Genomic DNA, 12,684 nt, shown 5'->3' with positions numbered 1-12,684 from the left:
AATAAACAGATGACAAGATAACAATCAAGCATTTGTCTGAGTGGGTCTATGGGTAATGCTCCTCATTGGATTCAGAGAGGAGGGAAAGGAGAAGTAGAATAAAGAAAGACTGGTAATGACCTGCAGTTACTGGGACTCTGCCTCATTTCTGCGTTGGGAGTATTTGTCTGGCTTTCTCTATACCTCATCCAAGATGATTTTCCCAGAGTGTACATCCAATCACATAGCCTAACTTTGCTTTGGAGGTCCCTCAGGACAAAGCCTCTCCTCTCTCCAACTAGGAATACACTGGAGAGCAAAACAGACACCACCCTTATTCTTACGGGCCTTACAGTCCTGTGGGGAGTAGACACTGATCAATAATCATACAAGTAAATGTACAGCGGCAAGTTATGCTAAATGCTAAGAAGGACAAGCATCATTTACTATGATAGTTAAAGGGATAGGGGAAGCTTTCCCGTGGGAGTTTCTTTTCAGGTACGATCTAAAAGACAGCCAGAAATTAACTGTATGAAGAAGTCACATGAAGAATATTCCAGGCCCTGTGACAGAAACACATACAGCCAAGGGAGCCATGCAGGTCTTGGAGGCCACACTGAGGATTCTGGATTTTTGCTAAGAGCAATGAGGAGCTGTTGAATGGTCCTATGTAAAGGGGGTGACCTGATCAGATTCACATTTTGAAAAAGAGGATGCTGGAGAGGAGCCAGTGGGGAAGAAGCCAGTGAGAAGTCTATTGCAGTCATGCAACCCAGAGATCATGCGTAGACTAGGGTGGTGTATGTGAAAAACAAGAGGAGTGTGTGGATTTAAAAGAGAGTTAATGAATAAAATCAGTGTAACTTAGTGCTAGACCAGACATAGAGAATGGAGGGAGTAGAAGTGTCATGGAATTGGATGGATGGTGGTAACATCCATCCAGCTAAACATGCTAAATTTGGTGTACTGTCTATATCCAAGTGGAGATTTAATGTGGGCTATAAGTCTACAGCACAAAGCAGAAGAGTGGGCTAGGTACACCTGTGGGAGACAGAGGCATTTAGACAGTAACTGAAATCTTGAGAGAGGAGGAGAAGAGAGCTGGGCCTAGAACTAAGCTTGAGAGGTTCAATATTTAGTGGAAGTTGAAAACATCCAGGTTACTTTTAGTGGAAACAAAATTGGCTAGATTTGGAGAGATTTCTGAAGGTCTTTAAAGGTCTAAGAGTCAAGGATCCAGCCACCTCATCCCCCAGCATAATGTTTTGCCCATAGCAGGAACCTAAAATATTTGATTTAAGAAAACCAAACCAACTTCTGTACTAGTTAAAGGGAGTCACTGATCGATGGCACATGTGATCGTTAATTTCTCAACAGCACCTAATTTAAAAACACCTAAAGCCAATACTCTAAATGTCTTCTCTTTTGGGCTTAAAGATGGTGAATCTATAACCACTGCATGCCTGTATACACACATACCCATATGCACACATGCACACACACAATCTTCCTACCATTTAACAGGCAATATACATCGAGAAGAAAACTATTTTTCACCCTAATGTTACTAAATATTAACTATGTGTTTTTAAATCAATAGTAAATTTTAAAAAAAATTATCTATGTGCTGGAATTTTCCATACACTAGCAACATAAGCAATCAGCAACTGGCACTGAGGACCCTCTTCAAGCTACCATTTTCCTTCCCTCTCTCTTAAGGTGTCCTTGAAGAATGTTCAGAAAGGAGTTCATTGTTCCAACAAATCTTTTCAGTTTTCTAATTAGCTCACTTCTGGTAGTGAACACAGAGTCCCATCGAACACACTTTTAAGTGCCCCCAGAAAACATCTGAATTCAATCTCCCTGTGGTTGACTTCAGTTAGTCGCCTTTCCTCACCAAGAATAGTTATCAGACCTTCACATGTACCCCCAAACCTAAAATAAAACATTTTAAAAAGAATATTCAATTGTAATAACAAAATAAGCTACATTGTAATTTTAAGATGGGAGGCTTTCCTGATTTTTATTCTAGTGGGATATAACATCATGACTTCCATAATTTTGAAATATTCTTGAGTATAGCAATGCCACAGAGAAGAAAGACTTGTAAAACTGCTGGCAGTGTACCATGAATAGCAGCAACGTGGAACGGGGCACTCTTTCATATGGAGGGTAAGGGAATTCACCCAGAAGAAACAAGGGGTTAGAAACCAACCAATACATTTAATGATTGATCTACCTAAGTTTAAAAGCCTGATATCCCCCCAAAGCCAAAATAACCAGGAAAAAAATCACATTAGACTATCGATATCCTGAGAAGAAAAACCTATCTTCATCTTTGTAGCACCAGCACCTAGCACAGTCTGACTGGTGCACAGTTGATACACAGCAAAGTATTACAATGGACTAACAACCAGAGAGCACTTACAACTTAAAATCTGTTTTTCACACGTTACTCAGTATCAGCCTCCCACCTCTTTGTGAACTGGCTACTGTAACCTGCTTTTGGGAAACGAAGGCTCAGAAAGGTTAAGAAACACACCCCAAATAGCATGGTAGATAAAGCTAGGATTGGATTCCGGATATGCTTGCCTCCAAGTCTCTGCTTTTTTTCCACTATACTTATTCATTGACACAACAGATATTTATTAAAAGCCTGTCTTCTCAGTATTATGCTAGATGCAGGGTTACAAGGACAGGGAATGCATAGTCCCTGCCCTCAAGGAGCCGGCAATCTGGTGAGGGAAACCAGATGTGGAAACAGCTAGCTCTGAGGAATATTCGAATCGAGGGGTGAACAAAGTGCTGTTGAGGACGTATTTACGTAAGGGAGGGCTGGTTAGTTCCGCCTGCCTAGAACACTTGAAGATTTTCAATGGCAGTTTAAAAAGGCATTTATTGCCCTCAACACTCTCTGAGCGGGGCCCCAGAGTGGGGATGGCTTGCAGAGGCACGTCTCCACGGGCATAAACCATCACTTCTAGGTTGCTCGTGTTAATGCACGATGGATGATTTCACTGGGCTCTTCCAGTGGTTTCAGCAACAGTTTTAAGGAGAAAGCTGGTGATGATCCAAAATAACATAACAAGCGTAAGCCAAGTGGAAGGGTGTGCGGGGCAGGAGCCAGAGGGCCAAAGCCAGATAACATTTGACATGGGAAGATACTGGAGGATAGATTTAAGCAGCACCATTCTCTGCTAGGAATACAATATGTCTCCCCAAGGACTGATATTTTGTCCAAATTGAGACACTTAGCTTTAGTTATTTCCTTATAAATGGTCCATTCTCGCCACATCTTTTCTTATGACCTATGCATATCAAATTCCAGAGGGAATTTAAATGTCACTGTTTAAAATACCTGACAGGTGGTGGTTCCATTGTGGCTGCTAATTTTGCATTGATAAAATGAAATGGCAAATACAAAAGTGCCCCTTTCATTTGATATTTATTATTCACTAACGTCATAGCAAAATGTTTCTTAGAATATAATACATGTTAATATGATAAATGTATGAGCATTTTCCAGGCACAGAATCTTTAATATATATATTTATATATAGCTTTATTATTAAAAATTAGCAAGAAATCTCAGCACTTAATCAAATTATCAATGTTTCCATTTAGCCCAGTCACCTTTTAGTCCTTGTGCATATGGTTAGGTACATCAAGTATTGATAAAAATTATATCATGGGTGAATAATTCACACTAGGAAATGATTATACCCTAATTAAACAATCACCTGATTTTTAATGAGCGTTAAAGAGACACAACCACGGGGACAGAAATGCAATAATAACAAATTTGGCAGATACAAGCAGATCAATTGAGCCTTTATGATGAGGTTTTCATGTTGGCACATCATAATTTTAAGTTCTGGCAGCAAAAGTCTCCATTTCCCTTTGTAAGAAGGCAGGCAGAAAATAGTTGAAACTGTTTTTCTAAATCTAGCATCTGTACATTTTATGGTATTTATGACATTATGGATGCTGAGAGTTGTTCAGGCCAAAAGGATACTCTGGGTAAATGCAATCCACATGTAATATCACAACTCCATTATATTCATCAATTGTATTTCCACTTCAAAGTTCAGAGCAAGTTACTTTAGACACTGGTTAACATATTATGATGATATATTTGCCACATTACTTTTTTTATAAGGCTAATTCTGTTACTTATTTTTACACTGAGCAGTGCACTCTAACTTTGTGCTGCCTAGATATTTATAACTTATTTTCAAAATGAAATTAACCTATTCTTTGCTCATGTCTTAAAACAGCCTCTGGCTAAAAGCAATTTAATTCTGATTCTAATAAATTAATATTGATCTCTTTGCCTATGACAAACCTGAGGATGAAGCAACTAAATGAGCATTAGCGTTATTTCCGTTCCTTTCTCCCTCTCCCTTCATGCTAACAAGCAGGGATCTGGCTAAATGGCAGGCCCAAAAAGAGAAAGGATGATTCAAAGATTCTGGACAGAACATTTTTCATTTTTAAATATTCAGATAAATAAGAGTTGACTGACTTAGCTGCATCACATCAAAATGATGAAAGCATTGAAAAGGCAAATAATTCATCAAACCTTCTATATATTCCAAATTCTTTAGCTTAGAGTTCAGATGCTTGATTCAAACCTAACTGGGCAACATCCTAGACTTTCCCATACCCGTGGCTTTGCTTATGTCAGTCAAACCCTTTCTGTTCAACTTCCAGGGATTAGTCCTGCTCATTATAAAGAAACCAGTTTAATTTCTCCTTAATTAATTTTAACCTGTCTACTATGAGCCAGGCACTTAATAAGCATTGGAAACTCATAGTCTAATGAAGACGATAATCTCGGGTCAGTTGTGGGATGAAGAAGGTCATGATGTTTGTTTCCTGCTCTATTCCAAAAAGTGGTTAAGGAAAGGGGGAAATAGATGGTTGAAAGAAGGATGGAAAGTCAACATGGCAATGTGAGTCAGGCTGTGCTAGGTGTGTGGATGAAAGGCTTTGGAGCCCTGGGTCACCAGTAAGACTAGGAGCAGGCACTCCAGACAGATGGAACATCTTCCTGCAAAATTTCTTTCCTCCGTATAGGTATCTTCCCTCAGGCAAATGGTTTTCCTCTGAAATCATACAGCATTCTGTCCTTGGCATACCTCTGCCTGGAATGTCTTCCCAACCCATCTTTCTGAAAACAAAGGATCTTACAAACAGCCTCCTTTCCTTTTCCTCTTTCTATCTGTACATTCTAGTACAAATAAAATCCTCTAGTGTAAATAACAATGCTCCTTTTTTTTTTTTTTTTTCTTTTCCTGTCACCCAGGCTGGAGCGAAGTGGAGGGATCTCAGCTCATTGCAGCCTCTGCCTCCTGGGTTCAAGCGATTCTCCTGCCTCAGTCTCCCAAGTAGCTGGGACTACAGCTACAGCATGCCACCATGCCTGACTAATTTTTTGTATTTTTTGTATTTTTAGTAGAGATGGGGTTTCGCCATGTTGGCCAGGGTGGTCTTGACTTCTGACCTCAGATCCACCTGCCGTGGCCTCCCAAAGTGCTGGGATTACAGGTGTGAGCCACTGCACCTGGCCAAGAACACTCCTTTCAAGCAGACTCAATGAATACTTTTTGTTTACTATCAGATACAATTCATGCCAAACACAAACATAAACATTTCTTATCCTAATCATTAATACTAAACACAACAGTCTAAAGACTACCTGAAGAACTTTTCCTCCCTGCTCTGAGCCACAGCACAATGGTCTCTGTTCCAAAGGATTTGGGTATGGCTTCACTGCTTAGAGAAACTTGGTTTTCCTTCTGTAGGGATCTCAATAGCAAGAAAGAAACTATATAAGAAACAGCAGTCCTTGAGGGCTGACAATGTATAAAAGATATATAGTCAATGTCTGTGAATTCTGCTGGCAATGATTGAAACTCCTTTTGTTTTCATATTTAAAATACGATGTTTTAATATGTTTAACTGACTGTATAGTTTTATACACTTTACTCTTGAAATGTACACTTCAAGGCAGTTATTTGCAATGGAAAAATCAGTATAACTCAAAATAATAAACAGACTCAATTCTTAATCCATTATCATTTAATTGAAGGGAATAATCAAAGACTTATTTATCATGAGACCATATATCAGAATGAACAGATAACTATAACATATCAAGGAATGAATTTTAGTTTCAGTAAGAAAAATAAAATAGTGCCATTTACAAGTATCACTATTAATTCCCGTATATTATCAATATTCAAGAAACCATTCAACAAAGAAACAGTGAACTTGAACAACACTGTAGACCAAGTGAACCTAACAGACATATAAGGAACATTCAACCTAACAACTGCAGAATATACATTTCTTTTCAAGCATACATGGAACATTATCCAGGATAGATCACATATTAGGTTACAAAACAATTTTTAACAAATATAAAAATAATGAAATTATACCAAATATCTTTTTTGATTGAATGAAACTAGAAATCAATGGCAGCAGGAAAACTGAAAAATTCACAAATACATAGAAATTAAACAACACATTTTTGAATAACCAATAGGTCAAATAAATCAAAAGTGAAAGTGGAAAGTATCTTGAGACAAATAAAAACAAAAACACAACATATCAAAACTTATGAAATGAAACAGAAGCAGTATTAAGAGGGAAGTTTATAGTCACAAATACCTACATTAAAAAAAGAAAGATATAAAACAACCTAACTTTCTACCTTAAGAAATTGGACAAAGGAGTAAAATAGAGAATAGAAAAACAGTAAGATAAAATCAACTCAGACTTGGGCTTTTGAAAAGATAAACAAAACTGACAAACCTTTAGCTAGGCTAAGAGAAAAGAGAGTGAAGACTCAAATAAATAAAAGCAGAAATGAAAAAGACATTACAACTGATGCTACAGAAGTAAAAAAGGTCATACAGACTACCATAAATAGTTACAGGTCTACCAACTGGATAGTCTAGAAGAAATAGGTCCCTAGAAGCATACAACCCACCAGACTGAATTATGAAGAAATAGAAAATCCAAGCAGACCTGTCTAGTAAGGAGATTAAATCAGTAGTATAAAATCTTCCATACAAGAAAAGCCCAGGATTAGATGGCTTCATGGAGAATTTTACCAAACATTTAAGGAAGAATTAATGCCAATCCTCAAACTTTTCCAAATAATTGAAGAGGAGGGAACATTTCTGAACTTTTTTTATGAGGTCAGTATTACCCTCATACCAAGCCAGATAAAGACACACAAGAAAAGAAAATTATAGGCCAATATCCCTGATTGAACATAGATGTAAAAATCCTCAACAAAATACCAGCAAACCGAATTCAACAGTATGTTAAAAAGATCATTCACCATGACCTAGTGGGATTTATTCCTAGGACGGTTCAACATATGAAAATCAATTAATGTGACATATCACATTTACAGAATGAAGGATAAAAATCACACGATCGTCTAAGATAAAAAAAGTGTTTGATAAAATTCAAAATCCTTTCATGATAAAAAAAAAATCTCAACAAAGTAGGGATAGAGGGAAATTACCTTAACCTAATAAAGGCTATCTATGAAAAGACCATAGCTAACATCATACTCAAAGGTGAAAAACTGAAAACTTTTCCATTAAGATCAGGAACGAGGCAAGGATGCCCATTCTTGCCACTTCTATTCAACACAGGACTGGAAATCCTAGCCAGAGCAATTAGGCAAGACAAAGAAATAAATAGCCTCCAAATTGAAAAGGAAAAAGTAAAACTGTCCTTACATTTACAGATGATATGATCTTATATAGAGAAAACCCTAAAGATTCCACAAAAAAACCTGTGAGAATGAATAAACAAATTCAGCAAAGTTGCAGGATACAAAAATCAACATAGAAAAATCAGTTGCATTTCTATACAATGATAATGAACTATCTGCAAAGGAAATTAGGAAAACAATCCCATTTACAATAACGTCATACTTAGGAATAGTCTTAACTAAGGAAGTGAAAGACATACATACTAAAAACTATGAAACATTGATGAAAGTAATTAAAGAAGACACAAACAAATGCAAAGACATCTCAAGTTCATGGATGGAAGATTTAATATTGTTATAATTTCCATATGACCCAAAGCAATCCACAGATTCAATGCAATCCCCATCAAAATCCTAATGATATTTTTATAGAAATAGAAAAAAAATTCTAATATTCATATTGAACCAGAAAAGATCTTGAATAGCCAAAACAATTTGAAAAAGAACAGTGTTGGAGGCAACACACTTCCTGATTTCAAAATATATTACAAAGTAACAGTAATTTAAACAGTATGGCAATGGCATAAAGACTGACATATAGATCAATGGAACAGAAGAGAGAGCCCAGAAATACATCCATGGATATGTGGTCAAATGATCTTTGACTGGAATGCCAAGAACACAAAATGGAGAAAGATGAGTCTCTTCAACTAATGGTGTTGGGAAAACTGGATATCCACATGCAAAAGAATAAAACTGGATTATCTTTTACCATACACAAAATATCAACTCAAGATGGATTAAAGACTTAAACATAAGACTTGAAACTGTAAAATTTCTAGAAGAAATCACAGAGGGAAAGCTTCAAGACATTAGTTTTGGCAATAGTTTCATGGATATGACACCAAAAAGCATAGGCAACAAAAGCAAAAATAAACAAGCAGGGCTAAATAAAACTAAAAAGCTTCTATACAGCCAGGGAAATATTCAATAGAGTAAAAAGGAAACCTATGGAATGAGAGAAAATACTTGCAAACTATATATCTGATAAGAGGTTACTTTCTAAAATATATAAGGAATGCTTACAATTCTATAGCAAAAAAACTAATAACTCAATTGAAAAAATGGTCGAAGGACATAATAGATATCTCTGAAAAGAAGACACACAAATAGCCAATATGTATATATATGAAAAGAGGTTCAAAATCACCAATCATCAAGGAAATGCAAATCAATGCCACAATGAGATATCATCTCATACCTCTTAGGATACTATTACCAAAACAACAATGACAAATGTTGGCAAGGATGTGAATAAATCATAACCTTTGTATACTATGGTAGAAATGGTAGAAATGCAGAATGGGGAAGCTGCTATGGAACTGTAGATTCCTCAAGAAATTAAAGATAGAACTACTATGTGACATAGCAATCCCACTTCAGAGTATTTATCCAAAGGAATTGAAATCAGGAACTCAAAGAGATATTAGTACTCCCATATTCACAGCAATGCTATTCACCAAGATATGGAAACAACTGAAATGTCCGTTGACAGATTAATGAATTTTAAAAATAAAATGTACTAGATGGGCTTGGTGGCTCATGCCAATAATTCCAACTACTTGGGAGGCTGAAATGGGAGGATCCCTTGAACCAGGAATTTGAGACCAGCCTAGGCAACATAGGGAGACCCACCGCAAAAAAGACATGCTGTATATACATACAATGAGATATTATTTAACCTTAAAAAAGAAAGAAATCCTGACATTTTCAACAAAATGGATGAACCTTGAGAACATTGTGCTAAGTGAAATAACCAAGTCAAAGAAGGACAAATATTGCATGATTCCACTTATATGAGGTATCTAAAATAAACTCATAGAAGCAAAGAATAGAATGGTGGTTGGCAGAGTCTAAAGGAAGGGGGAAAGGGGGAGTTGATAATCAACAGGTATAAAATTTCTGCCTGGAAGATGGATACGTTTTAGCGATATGCTGTACAACATTGTGCCTACAGATAATAATACTGTATCGTACACTTAAAAAATCTGTTGAGTGTAGAACTCATAGTAAATGTTCTTACCACATTAAAAAAGAAAGAGAAGAAAAAGAAAGAAGGAAGGAAAGAAAAACAAAGAGAGAGAAAGAAAGAGAAAGAAAGAGAGAAGGAGAGAAAGAGAGAGAGGGAGGGAGGGAGGGACAGAAGGAGGGACGGAGGGAGGGAAGGAAGGAAGGAAGGAAAAGAAGAACCATAGCACACTCTAACTTATCATACGTATCTGGAAAACGGTTTACAACATCAGATCCTGGCTAGAAAGGTCACTTTTCAGGTTTGAATTATTGGCTCAGTTTGTTTCTTTCTTTTCATTTTCTGACAGACTGTTAAGAGATATTTAATAATTAGCCACTTACAATGTCTTGGGAGCTAATAGTTTCCCTGGCTTTTAGGATACAACATCTTACCATCATGATCACTGCCACGCCCCCTCCCACCCCTTTCCACATTGCTGTTTTTTTGGGAAGAAGAGCATTCCAGGAACCATCACACACATCACTGCATTCAGGTAGGGTGAGGGCAGTGAGGCTGTGGGGACAGGGAAGAGTGGACAGAACAGACAAGACTGGGCCTGATGGAGAGATCACCCAGAAACTACCTAGCAAGCTAAATAAAATCCCCTCATTGTTTTCAAAGAAGATACATCTGAGGCTTGATAATTATTTATGCTCTATACTACAAGAGGACAGGCTTAGGAGTAAATAAACAAATGCTGAAGTCAGTGATCATGCACATAGTTACTTCAATCGGTTTCCCATTCCTTTTTTTCATGAGAAGCCAGACCAGGCTTCCAGGCAAACAATCAAGTACCCTGTGAGGTTTTTTATTCATTTCTAGATGTGACTGCTTCCCAAGGAGATGGAGACCTGACTGATCTGTAGATTGCTGTACATGTATGCACGGTTGGACTTTTTTTAATGAGCTAAGTAATAGTAGCCATTGTTTTATTATTGTTATATGAAAAGTTCTCTTTTCTACAATGTTTTATACAAGTTCTTTTAATTCTACAATAAAGTCAGAGTTTTGAAACTCTAGCAATACCATAATAATTTCTAAGTCTACCTTAATATTTTACTTCTGTCATTCACTTTCTAATCCTCTAATTCACATGAGCAAAAATAGTAATTTCTTTAACATAATACATAGCTTAACAGGTATACAGTTAGGTTTCAGAGAGGGCTATTTCAAAAGTAATTATTTTAGTTAGTTCAAAACCTTACAACATTCATTACCAAGAAAAAAAAGCATCACATTACTAATTATGAAAGGAATGTTAGTTCCAAAATTTTTTTTATGCCTTTGCTTCAAAATGAAACAACACACTGAACACAAAGGCAGAGGAATATGGTGAAGACACATGTGCAAGAAAAGAAGTGGCATTAATAAGAAATGGCTTGCTTTGAAAGTCCTTGCTAAACTTCATCACTGGGAACTTTCTACTGCAGTAGTTCTCCACTGAGGGGCTCGGGGGCATGGTGGTGGTAGGGAAATAAACTGCTTCCTGTTGAAAAGGAACTTACTACATGCATCTGTCATGTGGGAACATCAGTTCCTTCTCCCATCCCAGGATAAAATGAAATAGGGGGAAAAAGACATTTTTCATCTGAAAAAGGGAGTGAGAAAGACTAAGCAAATGGGGAAAAAAAATTGAATTCTCATGATTTGAATATATATGCACATACATCTTAAATACATGGATTTAAAAAAATTTAGTCAAAATTCTAACATGAATCTAACATGGCCAAACACAGATCAATGATAAGAGTGTGTCACGTACCAAAGTTTATAATTCATCCCAAATCTGTGCATCTGAAATCCACAAAAAAGAGAATACTATGATCCCATTTGTTCAATAAAAGCTTATTTGTATGTGTGCTTTGAATATATGTATACATTTTTGTGTATGCTCCCATATATATGTACATTCTTTAATGCATGTGAATATATGTATATATTCTTGTGTTATGTATACATGTGGATACATAGAGTATGTGCACAAAAACTGTCAAAAAGGATATATCAACTATTCAGATGGCTCCATCTTAGTTATTTAGGTAGCTATTTTTAATAATGAAATAAATACTCATGAACCTACTAGGTAAAATAAAATCTGGAATCTTAATAATAATCATGTCTATCTATATGATTCAGAGCTCCCCATTCATGCTCTCCCCACCTGAGTTAATCATCAACCTCAATCTTATGTTCATATAACATTTCCCCTGATGCAAGAATTTATTTTGGGTACATAACTGTGCTTTTCAATATGGTAGCAGCTAGTACCATGTGTCCACTGAGCATTTGAAGTTTGATTGAGGAACTAAGTTTTAAATTTAATTTAGTTTCAATGTAAAAACTTGAAGTGGTATAAAATATGTTTATGTTAAACACAATTCCATTGTTTTGTTTTGCCTACATTTTACTTGAACTGTTCCATCCTATAGGGTACTATTGTTGAAGTTCTCATGGCAGGTTCATGTGTCCTCTCTGGTAGTACATCCCCCGTTTGATTTGTGTCAGAGATTGATTCAGTTCAAATTAATTTTTTCCTATTCACCCAGGTAACACTGTAATATGTTTGTTGAACGCTTATGGACAGCAGGAGTTATGAGGATCCCTTTGTATATTGTAATTGGAAATTAAATTGACATTTTTGTTATTATCTTAATTATTATATAATTAAATATTTTTAGTTAAAAATAAGCATAGAAAAATTTTAAAATCTAAAAAGAGCAGAATTGAGAGGAGATGCAGAAACTAGTAACACACAATAAAGAAAAAAGGGACCGAAAGAAGGTATGTTGGAAATTTCATGATGAATAGCAATTGCAATTTGTTGGAACATAGCAAGAGAAAAAAATGCTGTTTGTTGTGTAAAAAAAGGTAAAGATAATATGATTTAAAACAG

At 36.1% G+C, this 12,684-nt stretch overlaps 1 protein-coding gene across 4 annotated transcripts in view; it reads right to left on the bottom strand.

Annotated features, from left to right (window-relative positions):
• Nucleotides 1-12,684, bottom strand: part of SAMD13 (sterile alpha motif domain containing 13) — a 52,261-nt gene that overhangs the window by 25,904 nt on the left and 13,673 nt on the right. The window lies entirely within an intron of this gene.

This window comes from Homo sapiens, chromosome 1 (assembly GCF_000001405.40).
Source record: "Homo sapiens chromosome 1, GRCh38.p14 Primary Assembly".
NCBI classification, from domain to species: Eukaryota; Metazoa; Chordata; class Mammalia; order Primates; family Hominidae; genus Homo; species Homo sapiens.
Note: the sequence above shows the minus strand (reverse complement) of the source record. Positions and strands in the feature narration are given on the sequence as shown.